General features: G+C 45.0%; 1 protein-coding gene and 1 pseudogene across 13 annotated transcripts in view, besides 5 other annotated features; one reads left to right on the top strand and one right to left on the bottom strand.

Moving 5' to 3' along the window:
• Positions 2,903-3,129: a silencer, noted in NCBI's record as "fragment chr20:39962705-39962931 (GRCh37/hg19 assembly coordinates)". NCBI's record gives its function as "represses an EF-1alpha promoter that drives an FKBP-Casp9 reporter gene in an ReSE screen in HepG2 liver carcinoma cells {active_cell/tissue: HepG2}" and the evidence as "EXISTENCE:reporter gene assay evidence [ECO:0000049][PMID:32094911]".
• ADI1P1 (acireductone dioxygenase 1 pseudogene 1) lies at positions 3,953-6,072 on the bottom strand (annotated as a pseudogene).
• Positions 7,300-7,349: an enhancer, noted in NCBI's record as "active region_17893". NCBI's record gives its function as "activates an Ori minimal core promoter by ATAC-STARR-seq in GM12878 lymphoblastoid cells {active_cell/tissue: GM12878}" and the evidence as "EXISTENCE:reporter gene assay evidence [ECO:0000049][PMID:35858748]".
• Positions 19,034-19,083: an enhancer, noted in NCBI's record as "active region_17892". NCBI's record gives its function as "activates an Ori minimal core promoter by ATAC-STARR-seq in GM12878 lymphoblastoid cells {active_cell/tissue: GM12878}" and the evidence as "EXISTENCE:reporter gene assay evidence [ECO:0000049][PMID:35858748]".
• Positions 19,194-19,643: a silencer, noted in NCBI's record as "silent region_12918". NCBI's record gives its function as "represses an Ori minimal core promoter by ATAC-STARR-seq in GM12878 lymphoblastoid cells {active_cell/tissue: GM12878}" and the evidence as "EXISTENCE:reporter gene assay evidence [ECO:0000049][PMID:35858748]".
• The window catches only part of ZHX3 (zinc fingers and homeoboxes 3), a 139,277-nt gene continuing 131,741 nt past the window's right edge, over positions 19,463-26,998 (top strand). For 6 of the 13 annotated variants that reach the window (NM_001384319.1, NM_001384320.1, NM_001384322.1 and 3 more), the window contains exon 1: positions 19,463-20,241. The gene's annotated coding sequence lies outside the window, so the exon portion shown is untranslated. Of the gene's footprint in view, positions 20,333-26,998 lie in introns of all 13 variants that reach the window. The other 7 variants (NM_001384317.1, NM_001384325.1, NM_001384316.1 and 4 more) reach the window with 2 other exon arrangements.
• Positions 19,654-19,943: a silencer, noted in NCBI's record as "silent region_12917". NCBI's record gives its function as "represses an Ori minimal core promoter by ATAC-STARR-seq in GM12878 lymphoblastoid cells {active_cell/tissue: GM12878}" and the evidence as "EXISTENCE:reporter gene assay evidence [ECO:0000049][PMID:35858748]".

Here is a 26,998-nt window from a genome sequence, read left to right as displayed (position 1 = left end):
ATCTGAATTTCAGATGCACAGCAACTGCTTTTTAATATAAGTATACCCAAGCAATATTTGGGACATACTTATACTAAAAGAAAGTATTCATTATTCATCTGAGATTCAAATTTAACTGGACATACTTTATCTTCTTTGCTAAATCTGGCAACCCTATGTCTAGCCAAACAGCCAAGTCTCCAGCACGTGGGACTTGCTGCCGGCAATGGCCTCTGCCCCATGTTGCCACATTCAGCTTCCACCTGTCACTGCCCAGCTCCAGAACTGTGCGTGGCTCCCAGTTACTTCTACAGGACACTCCCTGGCTGCTGTGCTGGGCCTTGGCTCTTCTGCCAGCCCAGCTGACCTGCTTGGGACCTTTCCCATCTCTGCTCCTGTTCATGCTTTCCCTGCCTGCCATGTCTCCTGCCTACTCCCAGGAGGGATCGCTAACATTTATTGAGCACCTACTGGGTGCATGAGTTCTTCATTTGCATTATCTCATTGGATTTTCACAAAACCCAGGATAATGGGGACAGTAGTTATCCCATTTTACCAGTGAAGAAACTGACACCCTGAGATGGGGATTTGTGTGATCTTGGCTCACTGCAACCTCTGCCTCCCAGGTTCAAGCAATTCTCCTGCCTCAGCCTCCCAAGTAGCTGGGATTACAGGCGCCCACCACCACGCCTAGCTAATTTTTGTATTTTTAGTAGAAACGGGGTTTCACCATGTTGGGCAGGCTGATCTCAAACTCCTGACCTCAAGTGATCCACCCACCTTGGCCTCCCAAAGGTGCTGGGATTACAGGCGTGAGCCACCATGCCAGGCTAACAGTGATTCTTTTTTTTTTTTTTTTTTTTTGAGATGGAGTCTCGCTCTTTCACCCAGGCTGGAGTGCAGTGACGCAATCTTGGCTCACTGCAACCTCTGCCTCCCAGGTTCAAGTGATTCTCCTGCCTCAGCCTCCTGAGTAGCTGGGATTACAGGTTTACAGGTTCGTGCCACCATGCCCGGCTAATTTTCGTATTTTGAGTAGAGAGGGAGTTTCACCGTGTTGGCCAAGCTGGTCTCGAACTCCTGACCTCAAGTGATCCACCCACCTTGGCTTCCCAAAGTGCTGGGATTACAGGCGTGAGCCACAGCACCCAGCCCCAACAGTGATTCTTAAAGTGTGGTCCCTGGACCAGCAGCAGCACTTGGGAACTTGTTAGAAATACCAGTTCTCAGGCCCTACCCCAGACCTACTGAATCAGAAACTCTGGGGGTAGGGCCCAGAATCTGTATTTTAATAAGTCCCTCCCTGCCTGCACCACCAAGTGGATTCTGATGCTCACTCTAGTCTGAGACCTGCTGCTGTAAAAGATAAAGTGACTACCAGACTCTCCCATCCCGGCAGAGGAACAGAGGACAACAGGGTGATTGTGTTCTTCCTGAGCACCATGCCTGGGCCAGGCACTAGAGATGCTGCAGGAGCCCCATAGTCTTAGAGGATGGGGAGGGGAGGGGAAGAACAGACCAGCAGCCAGGGAATTGCAATATAAGATGATGAAACCTGAGGTGGGGCAAGCCCAGGAGCCCATAGTGGGGTGGGAAGGGTCAGAGAATGCTTTCCAGAGAGTGGAAAAGTAAGTTGGAATTAGGTGAAGACAGGTGAGCACAGTGATCCAGGTGCAGGGACTCATTTGTACAAAGGCCAGGCTGAGCCACCTGGGGATAGTTTAGGTTGGGAGGTGGGAAGGGTATAAAATCCCTGCCCTCAGAGCGAAGGAAGACGCTGTAGTGAGTGCTGAGGGTAAAGCCTCTGCCTTCCAGGTGGAGTAAATGCTGGAGAAGATGGAAATTGGGGTGTGAAGAGAGACCCAGGAGGTGCCAGGCCTCCCCACTTCCTTCAATCCAGGAGCTTTTGCTCTCAAGACATTTGCTCAACCCCCAGCCATGTCAGTGAGCAGTGGGCAGGTACGTGGTTGCGAGGTCGGGGCTGCCGGGTCCAAGCGCAGCTCCTTCCTAGGCTAGGTGAGAGATGGAGCTGGGGGAGCAGCCCCCTCCGCCCCCGGCTGGAGAGGTTCCTGCTCTGTGTCCCTGGCTGGGTTGCTTTTGCCTTCCTTGTTTCCTTCTCCTGAGGATGTGGCCAGAACTGTGCACAGCCACTGGGGGCCTCTCCTCCCAGCCAATGGAAACAATTCCTGGATGTTATCAGGGACCCTCAGGCTGGAGGGCAGGAGACTTCTGTTGCCATCCGCAGCTCCTGCTAAAGGTACCTTTTGTGCCAGATGAGGAGTGACCCGGCTTGTCTAGATTGCAACTGTGCGGTTCCCGACTCCCGGAAAGACGTCAGTTTAGCAGCCTTTTTGGAATTTGTTTGTAATTTCTAGCCTGGAGAGGAATCCTGAAAGATCATTAACCAATGTAGGAAGTGGAGCTTTCTGTGGCCTAAAAATCCCTTCAGGATTTCCCAACTGCCCCATGGGTTTGATCCTCAACAAAGGGACCTCCTATTCTTTTTCTTCTTGGGGTGTACCTTCTGCCCCCACCCGCCCTCCATCTGGCATGTGGACCATGTCTTAAGCTTTGCAACTCCAAGAGGATCTGGCACAGTGCCCTCCACTTAGATATTCAGAAATATTGTTTACAGAATATCAGTTTATGCTGGGCCTTGAACTATATATAGATGGGGTAAATATAGGAGGCAATAGGCAGTCTAAGTGGGTGGAAGTGGTGAGTGAAGGCATGGGTATTGAAGACAAAGCGAATGCAAGGAGATAACCTTGAATATGGGGCAAAACCATGGGCACTGGGGAGCTATCAATGATTATTGAGCAGGAGAGTGATACGGTATTGCTAGTCACTAGACTAGGCCCTTTGTATAAGTTGTACACACCATCTGCTTTCACCGTCCTGCCCCTTCTCTGCTTGGACAGTTCTTCCCTCCCTCTGTCCACATTGTTGATGCCAACTCATTTTTCAGATTCCAGATCCATTGTTACTGTCTTCAGTGGCAGACAGACTCTAAGGTGGCCCCTGCATTTCTGCCTCCTGGTGTTCATGCCTTTGTGTCATCCCTTTCACTGAAGTGTGGGTAGGACCTGTGACTTGCTTTTAACCAATAGAATATGGCAAAGGTAATGGAATATCACTCCTGTGATTATGTTACATTTTATAATATTCTGCTTTGGCCAGGTGTGGTGGCTCACGCCTGTAATCCTAGCATTTTGGGAGGCTGAGGCAGGAGGATTGCTTGAGCCCAGGAGATTGAGACCAGCCTGGGCAACATAGTGAGACCCTGACTCTACAAAAAATAAAAAAAAATTAGCTGAGTGTGGTAGCACGTGCCTGTAGTCTCAGCTACTTGGCGGACTGAGGTGGGAGGATTGCTTGAGAGCAGGAGGTTGAGGCTGCAGTGAACTGTGATTCTGTGATCATGCCACTGTACTCCAGCTTGGGCAACTGAGTAAGACCCTGTCTCCAAGAAGAAGGAAGTTGCATTTTACAATGACCATTTAGAAATGAATCCATAAAAAAAAATCAGATCAGCACTTTATCAGAGTAAAATTTGACAGAAGAAAGCCCTATGATATTTATGTTATCATGGTTCCTGTCTACATTTTAATCCTTTTTTACAATTTTATTTATTTTTTTAAAGATAGAGACTCTGTTGCCCAGACTGGACTGCAGTGGTGCGATCTCAGCTCACTGTGACCTTTGCCTCCTGGGTTGAAGTGATTCTCCTGCCTCAGCCTCCTGAGTAGCTGGGATTACAAGCGTGTGCCACATGCCTGGCTAATTTTTTGTGTTTTTAGTGGAGACAGGGTTTCACCATGTTGGCCAGGCTGGTCTCAAACTCCTGGCCTCATGTGATCCACCCGCCCCAGCCTCCCAAAGTGCTGGGATTACAGATGTGAGCCACTGCACCTGGCCTTAATCCTAAAATTAATAATTTCAGGATTAAAATGTACACAGGCACCATGATAATAACATTTAAGGATCGACTTTCCTCTGTGCAGTGAGAAACAGACCCCCAAGACCAGTGTGAAAGTAATGAAAAATTAATTTTAACATGAAAAATTTTCATCCAGTTTTAGAAAAATACTTAGAAAACAACCTGACCTTCTAAAACATGAAATTTATTTGGGGTTTTTCTATGATTATAACGAACTAGGCATAATTGTGTCTTAGAATTGAGTAGAGTCTTAGAATTGAGTAGAAAAATAACGTACTAATTCTCTTGATAAATTTTAAAATACTAATTCTGTTAAAATCTTGATTGTGAAAGAACCTAGACAACTCGCACTGAAAAAAATACCAACACAGATAATATACACATTAATCACATACATATACAGTCACACAAAGAATCTAAACTGGTGATTTTAACAAGCTAGGCAAAATACCATATATACTTGAATATAAGATAATGCCAAGCCATGAGCATAAAATTGAGGCAGTCACTTTATTTTGTTTTGTTTTGTTTTGTTTGAGATGGAGTCTTGCTCTGTAGCCCAGGCTAGATAGAGTGCAGTAGAGCAATCTCGGCTCACCGCAAGCTCCACCTCCCAGGTTCACTCCATTCTCCTGCCCCAGCCTCCCGAGTAGCTGGGACTACAGGCGCCCACCACCAAGCCCGGCTAATTTTTTGTATTTTTAGTAGAGACGGAGTTTCACCGTGTTAGCCAGGATGGTCTCAATCTCCTGACTTCGTGATCTGCCCGCCTCGACCTCCCAAAGTGCTGGGACTACAGGCGTGAGCCACCGCGCCCAGCAATGACTTTATTTTGAACAAGAAAGTGGCATAAGCAACTCAGAATGTGTCGCCTAACATAAGAGCTCTTCCCTCTATGTGTATAATTCCCCACCTCAGTGTATAATTTTGGGAGAAAAAAAGTGTCTTCTATCTGGTTATCTACCATTGCACCTTGTTACAAGGCAGGCACAATATCATGTCCAGATAGAACATCTAAGGAGATACATTTTGGGAGATGAAACTCTCATTTGGACTAAAGATGAGTGCATGTACTAACACAGGGCTACTGAACCACTAGTCTTGATTGCATTAGACAAAACGAAGGTGACTTGTCTTCATTTCCACAGTTGCTTCCATGTAAAAATCAGTTTTATTGCTCCTTTCATTAAAAAATATTCTGAGCCAGGCACGGTGGCTCATGCCTGTAATCCCAAAACTTTGAGAGGCTGAGTCAGGCAGATCACTTGAGGCCAGGTGTTTGAGACCAGCCTGGCCAACATGTTGAAACCCTGTTTCTATTAGCCGGGTGTGATGATGTGCACCTGTATACAAGCTACTCAGGAGGCTGAGGCATGAGAACCACTTGAGCCTGGGAGGTGGAGATTGCAGCGAGCTGGAATCATGCCACTGCACTCCAGCCTGGGCAGCAGAGTGAGACTCTGTCTCAAAAAATAAAAATAAGATAAAAAACATTCTGATCAAATAATCTTGCAAAGGAAAGACAAGTTTACCGTATAAAAGCAAAGAGAAAAATGATTTTGTGCTCAGTTACGTTTAGGACCTTCACAAAGTACATGTTCTCAGGGAGCCCTGCTATGCTGTCTGTGCCAGAAATTTCATGTATTGTCCCTGGACATTGAAATGGTCAGCTGGCCCATTGTATGCTGTCCACACTGGGTCTCCCTGAATGGCCATATGGCCTTCACGTACTTCTTTTCATCCAGAGTGAGGTGGTGACGAATTCCTGTGGGGAGAGTTATGTCTCCTTTCTCCATGAAGATGTAGATTCACTTGTCTTCTTTATCTGTCATATCAAAAGTATCCACTGCCACCCGGGATGTAACAGATCCGATCATCCAAGTGTAAATGCTCCCCATAAAACACCTTAATCTTTTCTTCATAATTTGGTAATTTATCTTTACATATGGTTATTATGTCTATCCAGGAGTAGCTTCTCTCTCTTTGAGTCTTTTCTAATTCTGGATCATTCTCTCATTTGTCAGTGTCCAGCTTTAGTAGTGCACCCTGAGCCAGCATGGCTGTTTCTGGCCCACTGGGTGGCCAGGGGCTCGGGGTGGTGGGGCTGCCTCCAGCAGTCTGGGAACTCATCCATGTACTAGGCCTGCACCATGGCTGCAGATGCTAACAGGCAGAGTGGGGCTAGAGAGGGGAGGCTGCATGGAAGGGCTGCCACTGGGAGTGAGGGGCTGTTGTGATTAGAACTCAAGGCTCTCAGGAGCTGGACAAAAGGTAGAAACTGTTGTTATAGATGAGGAAAAGGAAACCAATTATTGAGTACACTTAAAAGTATACTTGGTCAGATGCAGTGGTTCATGTCTTTAATCCCAACACTTTGGGAGGCTGAGATGGGAGGATCGCTTGAGCCCAGGATTTCAAGGTTGCAGAGCTGTGATTACACCACTGCACACCAGCCTGAGTGACAGCGTAAGACTCTCTCTTTAAAAAAAAAAAAAAAAAAAAAAAGCACACTGGCTGTTTCCTCTGCCCAGAAGTTTCTTTCCCTAGATGCCTACCTGGCTGGCTCCCTCACTAACCTCAAGACCACACCAATGTCCATGAAGTCTACCCTGACCATGCCCAGACACCTCTCTGTGCTCTAATCTTTTCCAGTAGCCCTAACAACTTCCTTGAGTGCTAATTCACTTCTTGAGGATGTCTGGTATGTGTGTGTCTCCCTCCAAAAGAATGCAGGCCCCGTGAGGACAAGACATCTGATCTGTCTTCACTGACAGTTCCTAAGAACAGTCTGGGGCCGGGCACGGTGGCTCACGCCTGTAATCCCAACAGTTTGGGAGGCCAACACGGGTGGATCACTTGAGGCTAGGAGTTCAAGACCAGCCAGGCCAAGATGGTGAAACCCTGTCTGTACCAAAAATATAAAAATTAGCCAAGTGTGGTGGTGCATGCCTCTAATCCCAGCTCATGGGGAGGCTGAGGCAGGAGAATTGCTTGAACTGGAGGTGGAGGTTGCAGTGTGCCGAGATGGTGCTACTGCACTCCAGTGAATGAGACTCCGTCTCAAAGAAACAAACAAAAAGCATCTGGCACATAGTAGGTCTCTGATAAAGATTAGTGAGTGAATGTCCACATCTTTAAAGGTTTTGCCTGTACCTTGAAGTCTCTGTTCCTTGGGGCTGCCTCTTTGCCCAGTACTCTTGACCCTGTCCCAGGTGATATGACCTGTTGCCCAGTGTCTGCCTGATCAGTAGGGTCTTCCTAGAGTGCCAGCGTTTTGACCTCCATGTGTCCCCACTAAATTGCCAGCATGTGTGAAATACTAAATTCCAGCTGTTTTTGTTTTTGCAGGGCAAGAGGGTTAAAGAAGGAGTAGGAAGAGGGGGAGCTGATGAGAGGAGCAATGGTCAGAGTGGAGGGGGTGGAGAGAGAATACAGTCACAGATTTCCCCACCCCATCAACTTTCCAAGCAGCTCAGAGCGGCAGCAGAGCCGCGAGTGAGGGCTGCGCACCACATATCCGGAGCTGTGTGCCACGTGGCAGAAGCTGTCCCGTTGAGTCATGGGATGTACTGCTGCACTGCTCTAGAGTTTGGTGTGTAGAGTATTTTTGGTTTTTACAGTCCAGCTCTCTGTGTAATGACTTCCTTCCCGTGGCCTTGTTCATCGAGGTGTCCCTGAACGACTAGCTGAGTCACAACATTCCTTGCAGCTTAAAACACTGACCCAAGGCAGTTTCTCCATGTAGTTAGGGACTTAGAAGGCTGCCAGGGAGTGCCTAGGGAAGACAGTCTGTAGTGCTCCTGTCTCTAACAGGCACCCCTCCCCGAAAACATTTAAAAAGCAAGTGAAAATAGAGAACAAATTCCATCTGTTAAGTCACTAGGAAATGGCCTCAGCCCTGCCACAACCTGAAGAATAATTTGTCAGTGACCATGAAGTCAATTTCAAATTGAATCGGGGCACCAGGAATGAACATCCATCGTCTCAGTGTTACTGCAACGCGAAGGGTCAGAAACCCATGTGAAGAGATTGGACTGGTGGGAATATAAACTTGCTCAGCCCTTCTATAAAATAAGCCAGTAGTTCTGAGTAAAATTAAGTATGCATAGGGCTCAGTAGTGTAGCAGTCTCATGCCTGGAAATACATTTTGAAGAAAGTTTGCTCAGATCCGCAAGAAGACAAGCAGGAGGTTATTTGTTACAGTGTTAATGGCATACAGGAACTAGAGGCAAAGGAACTAGGGGATGAGTTAGTAAAATGTTGTGGATACATACCTTGGAATTCTACATGAAATAGACATAAAACAGCATGGATGGAATTTATAGTGTTAAGTGGAAGAAAACAGTAAAAGATTTAAAACACAAGGCCAGGCGTGGTGGCTCATGCCTGTAATCCCAACATTTCAGGAGGTCAAGGAGGGAGGGCTGCTTGAAGCCAGGATTTTGAGATCAACCTGGGCAACAAAGCAAGAGGCTGTCTGTACAAAAAAAATTTGTTTAATTATCTGGGTATGGTGGTGCGTGCCTGTAGTCCTAGCTACTCTGGAGGCTGAGGCAAGAGGATTGCTTGAGCCCAAGAGTTGGAAGCTGCAGTGAGCTATGATCACACTACTGTGCTCCAGTCTGGGCAGAGGAGTGAGACCCTGTCGTGCCAAAAAAAAAAAAAAAAAAAAAAAAAAAAACGGTGGGGAGAGATTTAAAACACAACCTTTTTTCAGTTTTACTGAGGTATAATTGATGTATAATAAAACACATATCTAGGCCAGGCGCAGTGGCTCACGCCTGTAATCCCAGCACTTTGGGGAGGCCGAGGCGGGCGGATCACGAGGTCAGGAGATCGAGACCATCCTGGCTAACATGGTGAAACCCCGTCTCTACTAAAAAATACAAAAAATTAGCTGGGCGTGGTGGCGGGCGCCTGTAGTCCCAGCTACTCGGGAGGCTGAGGCAGGAGAATGGCGTGAACCCGGGAGGCGAAGCTTGCAGTGAGCAGAGATGGCGCCACTGCACTCCAGCCTGGGCGACAGAGTGAGACTCCATCTCAAAAAACAAAACAAAACAAAAAAACACATATCTAAAGTGTACACTGAGTTTTGATGTGTGTACCTGTGAAATGATCACCACAATCAAGGTAATAAGTATATTAATCACACCCAGAATTATGAAGTTTCCATCACCCCCTAAATTATGAAGTAGGTCTCTATGTATTAAAATATGTTTAACAGATGTTTAGCAGCTACTGTTAAGTTTTAAAAAGGTAAACAATACATGTAATATAATACCATATTTATAATAAAAAACGTTTAGATACCCTAAAAAAATCTGGAGGAACATACAACAAACTTAATTATGTTTATTGTTGAGAATCTTTCCAGAGCTGCATGGCCTTCTTTTGCTAATGTGCAGTGCACCTCAGGAATTGCTTGTTGTCCCATATCGTGGCCTCCAGTGCCTGATGAAAGTTTAGCATGCTATAAATGGGTCATTATGACCCCCTAACTTTCAGTGACTTTATTAAAATAACCCTGTAGCTGGGTATGGTGGCTCACACTTGTAATCATACCACTTTGGGAGGCTGAAGCAGGTGGATCACTTGAGCCAGGAGTTTGAGACCAGCCTGGGCTACATAGTGAAACCCTGTCTCTACAAAAAAAAATAGAAAAATTAGTTGGGCATGGTGCTGCGTTAGTCCCAGCTACTCAGGAGGATCACTTGAACCCGGGAGGTCGAGGCCGCAGTGAGCCATGATAGTGACAGTGCACTCCAGCCTGGGTGACAGTGAGCCCCTGTCTCAAAAAAAAAAAAAAAAAAGTAACACTGAAGTCATCACAATGGATTCTAACAGAAGGGTGGCCTGACCGTAATAATGTTCTCTATCCCCACAGCAGAGAGCTGTCAGTCACTTCCTTGAATTCCCTCACCTCGAAGGCCAGTTTCTCTCCTCATCCCTGCATGCAGGAGATATTCCAGTAGGGGGTTGGTTTTCTGTGCCTGGGTACAAAATGGTGATTCCCTAACTAGTTACCATGAAATCTGTCTCTATTACCACTCTTTCTGTGTCTCATAAGTAGAGGAGTGGTGGGGGATTGTGGGGGAGGGACATGTTTGGTTTTGTGTGGCTATGGGTTTTATAGAAAGGCAGTCTTAAGATGTGTGTGTGACTTCTCTGGCTTCACACTCGTTATCAGATTCTTCCATGGTACTGTGCACAGCTATACTTCACTCATTTTCAGTGTTGTCTGTAGTGTTCTGCTGAGTGAATATATCACAATTTATTCCATCTGCTACTGATGGGCATTTGGGTTGTTTCCAACGTGGGGTTATTATAAATAATGCTGCTGTGAACATTCTTGTACATGTCTACTGCTGTATCTGGGCATGTGTTTCTCATGGGTATGTATTTTGGAGCAGAATTTCTGGGTTATGAGCTATGCCTATGCTTAACTTAAAATAATGCTACTGGGTGCGGTTGCTCACGCCTGTAATCCCAGCACTTTGGGAGACTGAGGTGGGTGGATCACAAGGTCAGGAGATCAAGACCATCCTGGCCAACAGGGTGAAACCCCGTCTCTACTAAAAATACAAAAAATTAGCAGGGCATGGCAGCATACACCTGTAGTCCCAGCTACTTGGGAGGCTGAGGCAGGAGAATTTCTTGAACCCTGGGGGTAGAGGCTGCAGTGAGCCAAGATCGCGCCACTGCGCTCAAGCTTGGGACAGAGCGAGACTGTGTCTCAAAAAAAAATAATAATGCCAAACTGTTTTCCAAAATGTTTATACAAGTGCACTCCCTTCAGCAATGTATAAGAGCTTCCCTTATACATTCACCAACAGTTGTTACTGTCAGACTTGGAATGTTTAGCCACCTGGATCTGTAGTAGTTGTTCGCTGTATTTCATTTTCATCATTAATGAGGCTAAGCACTTGCTACATGTTTATTGGCTGTTTGGATTTGTGTCTGTGTGTGTGTGTGTGTGTGTGTGTGTGTGAAGAGCCTATTTTTGCCCATTTTTCTATTGGTCTATATAGTAGTTTTTGTATATTTTGGATATAAAACTTTTGTTATGTGCATGGCAAATCTGTGGCTTGCTTCTTCACTCTCTTAGTGATGTCTCTTGTTGAACAGTTCTTAATTGTAAAAAAAAAAAGTGCAATTTATCGATCTTTCCTATGGCTAGTGCTTTTTCTGTTCTGTTTAAGAAAACTTTTTTTCTTTTTTTTTTTTTTTTTTTGAGGCGGAGTCTCGCTCTTGCCCAGGCTGGAGTGCAGTGGCACGACCTCGGCTCACTGCAAGCTCGGCCTCCTGGGTTCACGCCATTTTCCTGCCTCAGCCTCCCAAGTAGCTGGGACTACAGGCGCCCGCTACCATGCTCGGCAATTTTTTTAGTATTTTTAGTAGAGATGGGGTTTCACCATGTTAGCCAGGATGGTCTCAATCTCCTGACCTCATGATCCGTCTGCCTCGGCCTCCCAAGTGCTGGGATTACAGGCTTGAGCCACTGCGCCCGGCCAAGAAAACTTTTTCTACCTTGAGGTTATGAAGATATTATTGTATGTTATCATCTAAAATTTATTGTTTTACCTTTCATGTTTAAGTCCATATCCAAAAAAATTGGTTTGGCTGTTCATTGAATAAGTGAAGTTTAGTTGGAGCAACATATCACATATATGCACCCATTCATTCAAGATATATTTATTGAGTATCTTCTGTATGTCAGGCCATGATTATAGTTTTATTTTGTGTATTTAGGTCATAAGCAATCCACCTGCCTTAGCCTCCCAAAGTGCTGGGATTACAGGAGTGAGCTACCAGACCTGGCCAGCGTCAAATAGTTGAGTCTTGTTTGTTTGTTTTAATTTCAGTTTGTTAATTTTCCCCTTTTGCTAGAATATTTAGTCCATTCCCATTTAATATAATTACAGATATGATTTCAAACCATTTAAGTATATAATCTGGCTATTTAAAAAAATCTATTTGTCCTACCTGGCTTTTGTCCCTGTTTAATTTTTTTGTCCTTCTTTTGGAGTAGCCAAGTATTTTTTATTCCATTTTATTATCTCCATTTGATTTTTTTTCTTTCTTTCTGAGACGGAGTCTGGTTCTGTCACCAGGCTGGAGTGCAGTGGTGTGATCTCAGCTCACTGCAACCTCCGCCTCCTGGGTTGAAGCAATTCCCCTGCCTCAGCCTCCCAAGTAGCTGGGACTACAGGTGCATGCCACCACGCCCAGCTAAGTTTTTGTATTTTAGTAGAGATGGGGTTTCACCATTTTGGCCAGGATGGTCTTGATATCCTGACCCCGTGATCTGCCCACCTTGGCCTCCCAAAGTGCTGGGATTACAGGCATGAGCCGCCCGGCCCATTTGATTTATTTATTTTTTTTAAACTGCGGTAAAATCTACATAAATCTACATAAATCTAGGTATTAACTTTTTTTTTTTTTTTTTGAGATGGAGTCTCTCTCTGTTGCCCAGGCTGGAGTGCAGTGGTGCAATCTCAGCTCACTGCAACCTCTGCCTCCCAGGTTCAAGCAATTCTCATGCCTCAGCCTCCCAAGTCGCTGGGATTGCAGGTGAGCACCATCACACCTGACTAATTTTTGTATTTCTTGTAGAGATGGGGTTTCACCATGTTGGCCAGGCTGGTCTTGAACTCCTGAGTTCAAGTGATCCACCCACCCTGGCCTCCCAAAATACTGGGATTACAGGTGTGAGCCACCGTGCCCGGCCCTGTATTAACCATTTTTAAGTGAACAGTTCACTAGTGTTAACTTCATTCACATTGTTGTGCAACCAATCTCCAGAACTCTTTTCATCTTGGAAAACCAAAACTCTATACTCATAAAACAATAACTTCCAATTCTCCCTTCCCCCCAGCCCCTGGCAACCACCACTTTACTTTCTGTCTCTATGAATTTGACTATAGTAGGTATTTTACATAAGTGGAGTCATACAATATTTGCCTTTTTCTAACTGGTTTACTTAACCAGTTAGAAAAATGTCCTCAAGTTTCATCTATGTTGTAGCATGTCAGAATTTAATTCCTTTTAAAGATTAAATAATCTTTCATATGTATATACCATATTTTTCCCATTTATCTGTTAATAGATGCTTGAGTTGTTTCTACCTTTTGATTATTGTGAATAATGCTGCTATAAACATGGGGGTACAAATATCTCAAGACTTAGCTTTGGACCTGGGAGTGATGTATGGTGAATTATACACCACACAATGATGTTTTGCATATACAATGGTGCAACACTGTACGTGCAGTCAGTGATGAACTGCATGTACAGTGGTGGTCCCATAAGATGGTAATGGAGACTAAAAACTCCTGTCACCTAGTGGCCTTATAGCCATCATAACATCAGAGTGCAACACGTTAGTCACAGGTTTGTGGTGCTTCTCATGTAAAGAAACCTGTGTTGCCAGTTGTCTAAAAGTACAGCACATACAATTATGTACAGTACATGATACAGGTAATACAAATAACTTGATACTTGTAATAAATGACTATGTTACTGGTTCATGTGTTTACTATTTATCATTATTTTAGAGTGTACTCCTTCTACTTATAAAAAATAACTGTAAAATAGTCTCAGGCAGGTCTTTCAGGAGGGATTCCAGAAGAAGGCATTTTCATCATAGGAGTTGACAGCTCCATGCATATTATTGCTTCTGAAGAGCTTCCAGTGGGACAAGATATGAAGGTAGAAGACAGTGATATTGATGATGCTGACCCTGTGTAGGCCAAGGCTAATACGTCTTTTTACAATAAAGCTTAAAAAGTTAAAAAAAAGTTAATAGAAAAAAGCTTATAGTTGGGAACCCAAGGCGGGTGGATCACTTGAGGTCAGGGGTTTGAGACCAGCCTGGCCAACATTGTGAAACACTGTCTCTACTAAAAATACAAAAATTAGCCAGGCATGGTGGCACACACCTGTAATTCCAGCTACTCGGGAGGCTGAGGCAGGAGAATTGTTTGAACCCGGGAGGTGGACGTTACAGTGAGCTGAGATCACTCCACTGCACTCCAGCCTGGGCGTTGGAATGAGACCCTGTTTCAAAAAAAGAAAAAAAGGAAAAAGAAAAAAAGCTTACAGAACAAAAATATGAAGAAAGAAAATGTACAGCTGTACAGTGGGTTTGTGTTTTAAGTTCAGTGTTATTTCCCAACTACTTGGGGAGCTGAGATGGGAGGATTGCTTGAGCCTGGGAGGTTGAGGCTGCAGTGAGCTGAGATTGTACCACTGCACTCCAGCCCAGGTGACATAGCGAGATGGTCTCAAGAAAAAAAAAAAGCTAAGTGTTATTACAAAACAGTCAAAAAGTTAAAAATATTTAAAAGTACAATAAGCTAAAAAAGTTAAAGTAAGCTAAAGATAATTATTAAAGAAAATCTTTTTTTACCTATTTATTTTCCTTTCCTTTTTTTTTTTTTAAGAGATGGGCTCTCCATCTGTCACCCAGGCTAGTGTGCAGTGCCATGATCGTAGGTCACTGCAGCCTCAAACTCCTGGGCTCAAGTGATTCTCCAACCTTAGCCTCCTGAGTAGCTGAGACTATGGGCATGTGCCACTACACCCAGCTAATTTTTACATTTTTTTGTAGAGATGGGGGGTCTCACTGTATTGCCCAGTTTGTCTCAAACTCCTGCCCTCAAGCAATCCTCCCACCACGGCCTTCCGAAGTGTTGGGATTACAGGTATGAGCCACTGTGCCTAGCCAAATAAAAGCATTTAAAAACTAAATTTAGTGTAAGTATGGCCGGGCATAGTGGTTCACTCCTGTAATTCCAGCACTATGGAAGACCGAGGCAGGCAGATCACTTGAGGCCAGGAGTCTGAGACCAGTCTGGGCAACATATTGAGACGCTGTCTCTACTAAAAATATAAAAAATTAGCTTGGCATGGTGGTGCACACCTGTGATCCCAGCTCCTAGGGAGACTGAGGCACGAGAATTGCTTAAACCCAGGAGGCAGAGGTTGCAGTGAGCCGAGATGGCGCCATTGCACTCCAGCCTCAGCAACAGAGCGAGACTCTGTCTCAAGAAAAAAAATTTAGCAGTAAGTGTATAGTGTGTATACAGTCTACAGTGGCATACAGTAATTTACTAGGTCTGCACATTCCCTCACAACTCCCTCACTGACTCACCCAGAGCAACTTCCAGTCCTGCAAGCTCCATTCATAAGTGCCCTGTACAAGTGTACCATTTTAAAATATTTTATACCCTACTTTTACTGTACCTTTTCTATGTTTAGATATGTTTAGATACACAGATGTATACCACCGTGTTATAACTGCCTACAATATTCAGTACTGTAACATGCTGTACAGGTTTGTAACCGAGGAGCAATAGGTTATACCATATAGCCTCAGTATGGTAGGCTTTACCGTCTAAGTTGTGTAAGTACACTGCATGATGTTTGCACAATGAAGCAATAACCTAATCACACATTTCTCAGAACATATCCCTGTCATTAAGCAATGTGTGACTGTACTTCTACTCACATTTTATTGACCAAAGAAAGTCACATGGCTATTCACAAATCCAAGCTATTGTAAGGAAGTACAATCCTATCATGTGCCTACAGAGGTCTTATGGAGAGCATCCCAGTTTTTGTCCCCTTTTTTGCTGGGAAAAAAACAGCTTTCAGGCCAGGCATGGTGGCTCATGCCTGTAATCCCAGCACTTTGGGAGGCCAAGGCTGGTGGATTGCCTGAGGTCAGGAGTTCGAGACCAGCCTGGCCAACATGGCAAAACCCCATCTCTACTAAAAATACAAAAGTTAGCCAGGCGTGGTGGTGCACGCCTGTAATCCCAGCTACTTGAGATGTTGAGGCAGGAGAATCACTTGAACCTGGGAGGCAGAGGTTGCAGTGAGCCAAGACCATGTCATTGCACTCCAGCCTGGGTGACAGAGCAAGACACAGTCTCAAAACAAAACAACAAAAAAAAAACAACTTTTTTTTTTATTGCCACTTAAAAAAGGCCTCCCTACTATGCAGAAATCAAGAACTCAACAATTGTTTCCTGTGTCACTACCAAATGTTTCCCAGGGGTTTTGCCACTATGTGGAACCAGCAGTTCTGTGAGGGACTTCTTTCAAGATACCGCCTCAGCTAGAAACAATTTCCCTTTTCCTGGTAATTGGCCATTTCTTGATTCACAGAGGTGGCTTCCTGGTGAACTTCATGCCTGTAAGCTGGCATGACTGTTCTGGAGGAGAGTACCTACCACAAGTTGGGTCAGTTAGAGCCTTTTCTACATGATTTTGTGATTAGAATGATTAGGGAGTTTTAGTCTCTGGGTAGTTGGAATTGTATCTCATACTTGGGAGAGGTTGGTAGACACATTTCCCATTGTATTATTAATACCTGGAGGCAGAGAAAACAAGTTTGCTGGAGTCATACTGGCTCCCCTTACTCTGCTTCCAGCCCATCCAAAATCCCAGCTAATTATTTCCCTTGGCCTCTGTGAGATCCATCCCACCCAAAGCCTAAAGATAAAGTCCCCTTTTATTTTCCTTGAATTGGTCTGATGGGTTTCTGGTCCTTGCAGCCAGCAAACTTCAGATAGTTCTTTGCCTCTGGACCCTGGCACAAAAAGTTCACAGGTGTAGCCCATTCCAATAAAACAGAGGTCAGGTGGTAACTATTGCATTAACTATACTAGCAGTTTCCTTACTGCTTGAGAAAGCTCATTAGAATGTGAGTGCAAATGACATTATTATAGGGATTACCTGAAATCTGCTTAATTTTTTTTAAAGGAAAGTAATATGCCTCTGTGTGTAAATATCATTTGTGACATACCCCCCAACACTGGTATTAAATGGCTGTTTCTTCTGCCTGGAATCTCTGTCTCAACAACTCTTTAGATGTGGCCCCAAAGTCACCTTTTCTGGGAAGCCTACCCACACTCTCCTGTATATTGTTAATTATGCTATTCTCTGTGCTTCCCAAAGCAGTTGGCACATCCATCTTTGTTACATATTTTCTCCCAGAAGTTTTTTGTTTGTTTGTTTTTGAGACAGAGTTTCGCTCTTGTTGCCCAGGCTGGAGTGTAATGCTGCAAACTCGCTCACTGCAACCTGTGCTTCCCGGGTTCAAGTGATTCTCCTGCCTCAGCCTCCCAAGTAGCTGGGATTACAGGTGCGCCTCACTATGCCTGGCTAATTTTTGTATTTTGAGTAGAGATGGGGTTTCACCATGTTGGTCAGGCTGGTCTCGAACTCCTGACCTCAGATGATTCATCCACCTAAGCCTCCCAAAGTGCTGGGATTACAGGCGTGAGCCACTGTGCCCGGCCAGAAGTATTTTTTTTACATGACTGTTTCCTCTGAAATACTGTTCCTCAAAGGTCGGGAGAATACCTCATTTTTCTCAGGATCCCACTGTGCCTGGATCAAAATAGATGCTCAGAAAAGTTTGTTGAATAAATGAAGTTGTATTGGAGCAGTATAACCTATATACATTCTCATTCATCCCAGAAATACTTATTGAGTACCTGAACATGTCGACCCATGTTCTAGATGTTGAAGATGGGAAAAACAAAGTTCCCACCTTCAGAGATATTATAGATGATATTCAGGTTAGAAGGGCTAGGCAGAAAAGTAAAGCAGGCTTAGAGGATAGTGATTGGAGTTGGGACTTGATACTTTAGTAGAGTGGTCTGGGAAAGTCTGGGGAGGTGACTTTTGAGTAGAAACTTGGAAAGCACACGCCTTTCTGATATCTGGAGGAAGCAACACCAAGTACAGAGGTTCTGAAGTAGAAGTGAGCCTCCATATTCCAGGAGCAAGAAGGAGGCTAGTGTGCCTGGCATGCAATGAGGAGGCCGAGTGGAAGGAGGTGCAGTTAGAGAGGTGGAGAGTATAAGTGGACGAAGGGCAGACACATAGGATCTTGGAAGCCTTTGGGAAAAAAACCACATTTTGGAAATGAAAAAAATAGGTGGGCATGGTGGCGTGCACCTGTAGTCCTAGCTACCTGGGAGGCTGAGGTGGGAGGATTGCTTGAGTTTGGGAGGTTGAGGCTGCAGTGAGCTGTGATGGGGCCACTGCACTCTAACCTGGGAGACAGAGTGAGACTGTGTCCCACTCTCCACCCCACTGCCCCCATATTTTTTTTTTTTTGGCTTTTACTCTGAGATGGGAAACCTTCTGGGGGCTTTTGAGCTTAGGTTTCAACAGGATCCCTCTGGCTTCTGTGTTGAGAGAAGGCACCATGAGAGCACAGTGGAATCGTGGAGAACAGGCAGGAGGCTACTACAATATTCCAGGAAAGAGGAAAAGGGGTATTTTAAAGGTAGAGCTGACAGGCTTTTCTAATGGGTTGCATGTGGGATATGATAGGGAGAGTGGAGTCCAGGATGACTCCAATGGTTTGTCTGGAGTCATCAGAAGAATGGAGTTGACATGAACTGAGGTAGGGAAGGTTGTGAAAGGAGCAAGCTAAGGTGCCACGTATGGGTGTTTGACTATCGACTTGTTTACTTGGACACATCGCTCACACTTGTGTATATGCTCCCTGGTTTTCAGGATCTGAAGGTTCTAAAGTTACTTGAAGTTAAAGGCAGCCTTACTTATTGAACACCAAGCACTGTGCAGAAATCTTTATATGTGGTGTCATTTAACCCTTTTAATATTTCTACTGATTTACTCATGTTTCATTGCCCTTTTACAGTTGAGAGATTAACACGTCCAAAGTCACTCAGACAATTATTAACCTGCTAGATTAATGCAGATCTGGGATTCCCATCCAGGTGTGTCAAGACCGTAGAGCTCCTGCTGTTTACTAATCACTGGATTCTAAAGGTGGGAGCCACTTTCTGAGCATATTTGCTGCAGACTTGGTTCCATAACTAAAAAGGTGCCTGGATCATGTGACGAGAATTCAGGAAAGAACCCAACCCCATCCCAGGCATTACAGGTTATACAACAGCTATGAAGAAAGGACGGTATTAGTGGACTCGAGGAGGCTGACTGATGTTTGAAAGTTCAAGTACTTGAAGACTCAATGTTAAAACAGTGATCAAGAGTTAGTTTTTTTGTTATTATTCTTAAGAAAACAGAAAATATTAAAAATTGCAGTGAACCCTTGGTTGGATAAAAGACCACTCCTAGTCGACGCTTGTTGGGAAACACTGGAATTGGAGGAGTGGGGGCAGACAGGAGCGAGAGCCCCTGCCAGCCTACACACACATCCTTTTGAAAGTGTAACCTGGTGTGACCTTCTTTAAGTGGTCCTCTGGAAAGAGCAGGATATGGAGTACAAAAGCCAGGAACCTCTGGGACCGCAGCATCCGCCCCCAGCGCCTCCTTCCCCGTCTTCTTCAGCCTCCACACGGTGGGGCGGGGAGGAGGGGGGAGGAGGAGTGCTGGCGCATGCGCCGGGGGCAAGGTCCGCTCCCCGCGACGTCAGGGGGCTCGCACCCGCTCGAAAGCCCCGCCCCGCGGCCGCCAGAGGCGACCTGGGCGGACTGGGGGGCCTGGGCCACGCCCCCAGCCGAGTCGAGCAAGGCCGAGGGGAGCCGTGCAAGGCCGAGCAGAGCCGAGCGCCTCCGAGAGCGGCCGAGCCCAGCCGAGCGGCCCGGAGTCGGTTGGTGCAGCTGCGTCCCCGCCGCTCAGCAGTCCGCGGCTCCGGCGTCGCCGCCGCCGCCGCCTCTGCGGGGCCTGCGCCGGCCGCCCGCCCGGCCGCGGGGAGGGAGGCCCGCAGCGCGGGAAGAGCGGCCCGGTCGCGGGCGCCGCCACCGCCGCCGCTGCCAGGTGAGCGCCCGCCACGGCCAGCCGGCCCCGCGTGCCCCCGCGGCTGTCAGTCCCCGGTGTCTGTATCTCTCTCTGCCTGTCAGACCCTGTGTCTGCGCGAGCTCCTTCCCGCCACGCCTGGCCCGCGGCCGGCCCGCAGTCTCAGTCAGCCCCCTCCCGCCGGCTGCCCCTGGTCTTTCTGTCAGCCGCCAGCACCCCCATGCTGAGAGGCTCCGCCCCTTCCCCCCGGAGCCCCGCCCTCCGCCATCTGTCATCACCCCCCGGGCTCCAGGAGCGGGCGTCCAGGGGTCCTAGGGGTCAGGGTAGCCCCGCGTGCCACCATCGTAGAAGGCGCAAAAGGGGGTGGTAGAGGGGAAGCGGGGGCGTTCGCGCAGGCCCGCCTGACCGTGTGAGAGTGCATGCCCGAGTGTGCGTTCCGCGTGTGCACCCGAGAGCCGCCTGCGTCCACGCCCGAGGGCCCTTGCACTCTGCTGGGATGTGGCAGCCCATGCCCCCGGTGTAAAGAGCGTCAGCTCGACCAGTGAAGGCGGCAGAGCCAGGACTCGAACCACTCGGGGTACAGTAGCACCCTGAATCTTGGGACCCTTGTCTGCCCACGCGAAAACACTACACGTGGGCCCCAGGTCCTCGGATTCCCTGAGTGGCGTGTGAGTGGAGTTTGGAGCTTGTTAAGCCTTCCCAGTTTGGGATTTTCATTCAGGGAAGCCTGTTGGAAGTGATTGAGGAGTGGATGGGATGTAGGACTTAGGTGGGGAGTGTTTGAGGGCTTGAGTCATTTTGAGTTGCATGGTTTACATTTCTGAGCAGTGATTGCCCTGGGCTTGTGCCCTGCGAGAAACTTATGTGACTTGGGGTGGGGGAGTGAGGTAGGAAGGAATGCTCCTTTCTGTTTTTATCTATGTGAACACATAGTATATATTTATCCAGATATCCTAAATGTTTATTCATGAGGCGTCCACACGTCCTTAATTTAAAAAAGGATTACAGTAGTTTCCATTTATACACGTTCTTGTGTGTTGTTATCTCAATGCTCTTTATTTGTGGTAACTTAGTATTGCAATATTTCAAAACTAAGAGAAAATGCATCCTAAAACAATTGGTATTTTGCCGGATAATTCTGAACCACGGAGAAGGAGCCAAAAGCGCACTTCATTAGCTGGAACAACTTATTCGAGCTTAATTTGTTTCTAAGAGACATACAGTGGAAAAATCCAGAAGCGCAAAATAGTATCAAAGACACATAGAAAATGAATGAAAAGGGCCCTTCTGTTGCTGCCTTGGAAAGATGGTATCAAAGTTGCTGTAGAGGACAGAGCCACTATGTAATGATCAACATATTAACCAAGTTGGTTTTGTGACCTTGATACATTGAGCGGGGCTTGATTTGTGCAGTGGTTCATGACAGGCAAACATTGCATGGGAAGTGTGGTAATTTTTGGAAAAAAATGTTCCCCATGTTGTTTTGGTTTTTGGTTTTGAGTTTGTTTTTTTTTTTTTCATATTGAAGTAAGATTTCAGACAAGGGAAGTCTCATGGTGGAGTGCTTTTTTCTTTTTAAAGATAACATTAAAAATTACCAAAGTAATTCATGTTTAAGGCAGAAAACTTGAAAAACAAAGAAAAGCATTGCAAACAAAACAAAACAAAAAAAACCCCATAATCCCACAAACCATAGTAAATCACAATTTGGTATTAAGCCTTTTAGCCTTGTTCCCATGTATACGTGTTTTTTCTTACAAAAATGCTATCATACTACACAACTTTTATTCTATGCTTTTTTTCTTTGACTTATAACTAGATTATGAGAGATACATCTTTGTTTTATGAGTAGGAACTTGTGTTTCTCTTTGCAATCCTTTAAAAAATTCAGATCATGTTAGTCCTCTGCTTAGAGCCCTCCAATAGCTTTTTGTCTTAAAGTAAACTCTGAAGGCCTTGCTGTGGCCTGCCAGGCTAACCCTCTTCCGAACAACCATCCTCACTTCGAGCCTTGCCAGACAGATCTCTTTGCTGTTTCTTAAAAACATCAAGCTTACACTTGTAATCACAGCACTTTGGGAGGCCGAGGCGGGCGGATCACGAGGTCAGGAGTTCGAGACCAGCCCGGCCAGCATGGTGACACCCCGTCTCTACTAAAAAAAAAAAAAAAAAAAAAAAAAAAAGCCAGGCCTGGTGGTGCGTGCCTGTAATCCCAGCTACTCAGGAGGCTGAGGCAGGAGAATTGCTTGAACCCGGGATGCGGAGGTTGCATTGAGCCAAGATCACACCACCGCACTCCAGCCTGGGAGACAGAGCGAGACTCTGTCTCAAAAAAGTCAAGCATACTCCAGCCTCAGTGCCTTTGCATTTGCTGTTCCCTCCGCCTAGAACTCTGGTCCCTGGATATTAACATAGTTGACTCCCTTACTTCAGGTCTCTGCTCAAAAGTTAGGTTGTCTGGCTTTGCTTGACTGCATTATCAAATACACCCCATTTCCCTGTTGTTCTTATCCTGCCTTGCTTACCACCACTTGGTAATACATATTTATTTGTTGGTGTATTGTCTCTCTCCCTCATTAACCCTGAAGTGTGAGACTTTTTTTTCACCGATATATCCTCAGGGCTCAGAAACTGCACCTGGCCCATTGTGGGTACTTAATATTTGTTGAATGAATGAAGGAAAGAATGAATGCTCATTATCCATCTATTCATATGACCTTGCTGGTAGCCTTCTAGGCTTCTAGGTAGCTGTGTCATGAGTTAAAATGACAATCTCTTAAAGGTCAGGATATTTCTTTCTCATCTATATCTGAGAAGAATTTTACAAAGTGAGGCTGTGGTCTTAAAAAGAATTACGGTCTTGATTTAACTTGAACAATTGAGGGAAGGAACATTTTTGGCAAATGTTGTTGGCTTTCCTTCTTATGCGTTATCCCTGTGTCACACTGGATATTTTTGAAAAGTATAAAGTTTCCCAGTTATGTTTACAGCTGTGATTTCAATTTGGTAGTTGATAGTGATAGTGTAAGCCTCAAGAGCATAGTGGGGTTTTTGTGTCAACAGATACCCAGAGATATAATTATAGCTTTAATGTGTTTTCATTTGGGGAATAGCTGTTACATATTTACTTATTTTTCTGGCAATTCTGTCCTTTTCCTCTCCCTGCTTATCAGTTTTTGGATGGCCTAGCAGGTATACTTAATTTTTTTTTAACATTTTAAAATAAATCCTTGACCTTTTGCAATTTTACATCTCTCCTGTGACTCTTGAACTGTTTGAAAGTACCAGTTTCATCTTTCAGGATGAAACATCTGTAGTAAAATGTATAATTGCATTTTAATTTATGAGGATGGGAAAATTGTATCTTGGGGTAGAATTTTTACAGAGAAGTCGTAATGTGAGCGTAAGCTTTTCAAAGGTTTGAATTTCAGGTAGACTACTTTTCATTTTAGTGACTTTTTGGAAAAAAACAGTTGCTTCTTATTTTTAAGAAAAAGGATCTCCTTGAACACAATCCAAACAGAGACCTTCAAAAACTTGTTTTTCTTATCCTCCAAATATACAAGAAGTTGGTAGTGGTGGTGGTAAGGGGGGAATCCTAAATGAAAATTATTTTCTTAAAGGCCTAAAAGGAGGCTGGGCGTGGTGGCTCATGCCTGTAATCCCAGCACTTTGGGAGGCCAAGGCGGGCAGATCACGAGGTCAGGAGATCGAGACCATCCTGGCTAACACGGTGAAACCCCGTCTCTACTAAAAATACAAAAATTAGCCAGGTGTGTTGGCGGGCGCCTGTAGTTCCAGCTACTTGGGAGGCTGAGGCAGGAGAATGGCGTGAACCCAGGAGGCGGAGCCTGCAGTGAGCTGAGATCTCGCCACTGCACTCCAGCCTGGGCGACAGAGTGAGACTCCATCTCAAAAAAAAAAAAAAAAAAAAAAGGCCTAAAAGTATGTGTTAAGAATTTATTTTTACTTGTTCCACAGGTATTGATTGAGCATGTATTTGAGCCAGTTCTATGTTTGTGTGGGCTGTGTTACCATGTTCAGTTTTAAATTATCAACGTGATTTTTGATTATTTCTTTTCTTTTCTGGCTCTGCTACCTCCCTTCTCTCATCATATTCTCTCTCTAAATGATCTCATCAATTCCCAGGACCCTAGAACCCCCTGGATGCAGATGACTCTTTCTGTTACGTCTCCCCACCCTTTCTCTGGTTCCAGACTTGCAGTTTTAGCTACCACCTTCCTGTCCCAGTGATCTCAAATTTCACAGGTTCAGAACTGATCTCTCAATCTCCCTCTCAAGCTTCGAAATTTGTATTCCTCATTCCTGACCCTTCCTTACTCTCCCCTTCAGCCTTCCGTCTCACTGTTAGTTAGTACTGTCTATTCATTGTTCAGGCTGGACACCTGAAAGTTGTCTGTGATTCTTCTCATTTCCTCACTCCACATGCAACCCATCTGTATGGCTTTTTGGCCTAGCCTCTAGAATATCTCAAACCCTCCCTTTTTTCCATCTTCCTAATTCACCTACCCACCTCTCTCAGATGGATGATTCCCTGTCTCCTGGTTGGTCTCCCAGCTTCCACTGTTGCTTTCTTCTAGCACATTTTCCTCACAGCAGCCAGAGTGATCCTACTAAAGAGTAAACCCAAGCATGCCACCCCCCTGCTTGGTGGCTTCCACTGCACTTGGACTCGCATCCACACTTACTCTGACGTGCTCCCTCTCCAGGCTCCCCTCCTTGTTTGCCATGCTTGTCAGATTGAACACCTTCAGTTCCTCAAACATGCCGTATTCTCCTCTTCTGTACAGGCTCTTCAAGACCTCCACTTGTCTCATAGAAAGATCCTTAAACGTCCAGTCTCAGCTAAAACATCTCCTCCTCAGAGGGGCCTTCCCTGATCACCACTTCTATAGTAGCTTCCTCCCCATTGTCCTCTATCTCAGCACATGTGCATTTATTGCTTGCACTTCACTAAAATTCATAGTGTGTCCGGAGTTCATTCCTTCTGGTAGGTCTGTGGTCTTGCTGACTTCAAGAAAGGAGCTGCGGACCTTTGTGGTGAGTGTTACAGCTCTTAAAGATGGCATGGACCTAAAGAGTGAGTAGCAGCAAGATTTATTGTGAAGAGCGAAAAAACAAAGCTTCCACAACCTGGAAGGGAACACGAGTGGGTTGCTGCTACTGGCTGGGGTGGCTAGCTTTTATTCCCTTATTTGTCCCTGTCCATGTCCTGCTGATTGGTCCATTTTACAGGGTGCTGATTGGTCCATTTTACAAACCTCTAGCTAGCTACAGAGTGCTGATTGGTGCGTTTTACAAACCTCTAGCTAGCTACAGGGTGCCGATTGGTGCGTTTTACAATCCTGGCTACAGAGTGCTGATTGGTGCATATTACAATCCTCCTGTAAGACAAAGAAGTTCTCCAAGTCCCCACTCGACCCAGGAAGTCCAGCTGGCTTTACCCCCTCAATAGCACTTCATTTATATGTTTCCTTCTTTTGTTTTCTTCTTTATTGTCTACTCCCCCAATAGAGACTACAAGATCTAGGAGGGCAGGGACAGCCTTGTCCTGTATATGGTACAGTCCTAGCACCCAGTGCTCTGCCCAGAGTCCAGTAGGTGTAGGGCCTCAGAACATTTTGAATAGTTATTTTAATAGCTACTTTTTTCGAGAATTCGTATGTACCAGGTCCATTGCTATGTGTGTTCACACATTATCTCTAAATCTTCGGGAGAACCCAGTATGGTGATGATGGTAATTATATTACCACTTCTGTTTTTTTAGTTGAGAAAATTGAACTTAGAGAATTTAAGTAATGTTTAAAGTTACATAGCTAAGAATATGGTGGAATTAGGATTTTAATCTATGTGATGTGACTTTAGAACCTTCCCCCTTATTCATTACTGCCTTCTGATATGAATGCAGGAATGAATGAATATGAAATATGCTGCAATATTAATCCCTGATGGTTTCTCTTGTTTTTCTAAGCATGTATGAGAGCATTAAAAATAAGAACACTTGGGTTAGGATGTTATATTCTCCTGGGAAGCTTCTGTTAATAACCACTATGCCAAAGCATATAGATAGTTTGCTTTCAGGCTCTGTGTTCTAATTTTACCTTTGCCACTTTCTAGCTGTAAGCCTTGAGGAAAATTACATGTCTAAGTCTGTTTTTTCAGCTGTAAATGGAGAAAAATAATAGTTCTTATCTCATAGGATCTTTTGAGGAGCAGAATTATACACAAAAAACTATCAATGTTAGCTATTACTATTATAAGGAGAAAAAAAAATCCTCAAGAAAAGACTTGTAAACTCATCAACAATTTAGAGTTTGGATAAGAGTGAATGACAGACAATAACTAACTTAGTGTTCTTTCACTGACCGTAGTTTTGAATTTATAAAAATTATCAGAGAATTGGCCGGGCACGGTGGCTCACGCCTGTAATCCCAGCACTTTGGGAGGCCTAGGCGGGCGGATCACGAGGTTAAGAAATAAAGACCATCCTGGCCAACATGGTGAAACCCTGTCTCTACTAAAAATACAAAAAATTAGCTTGGTGTGGTGGCACGTGCCTGTAGTCCCAGCTACTCAGGAGGCTGAGGCAGGAGAATTGCTTGAACCTGGGAGGGGGAGGTTGCAGTGAGCCGAGATCACGCCACTGCACTCCAGCCTGGTGACAGAGCAAGACTCTGTCTCAAAAAAAAAAAAAAAAAAAAAAAAAATCAGAATTAACTATCTGGGTTGGGATTTATAATTATTCTATTGATGTATGACAACGTATGTTTGGATTTGTGCTTGTTAAATGCTTGTGAAGTAAGATAGCTTTCTTTAAAAAAAAAAAAACCTCTTCCCCATCTTTAGAAGTATTCTCAGGGTAGAGAGATCTTTCAAGAAGCTGGCTATACTATTTTATTTTATTTTTTTGCACTAGAAAGATATTCACCAGCATACTGTTTACGTCAGTAATGCTTACCACCAGGGAGTTTATTTCAAATAACCAAGTGAACAGTAGACTCAGTTTAAGCATAATGGGCTTGACAGCTCGCATGTTGGAATATCTGGGCACAGTTATATTTTCTGGTGGGATGCCTTATGAGCAAGTGCCAAGTCTGGTGGTGGTTATCATCTCTGTGAAATAGAGGTGAGGTCTGCTAAGAATAAATGGGAAGAGGTCAGAGGAAAACAAGGTTTGACATACCATTGAGGTCAAGAAGAGTGGGTAATGAACCTGAGACAATGTCCATGATCTCCAGGCAGTATGCAGGGCTCCACTGAGATAGGACCATGGATTAACTGGGGCACTGGTAGCATTCAGCTGCCTGGTTTTA

The sequence above is a fragment of the Homo sapiens genome, chromosome 20, assembly GCF_000001405.40.
Source record: "Homo sapiens chromosome 20, GRCh38.p14 Primary Assembly".
Lineage (NCBI taxonomy): Eukaryota > Metazoa > Chordata > Mammalia > Primates > Hominidae > Homo > Homo sapiens.
Note: the sequence above shows the minus strand (reverse complement) of the source record. Positions and strands in the feature narration are given on the sequence as shown.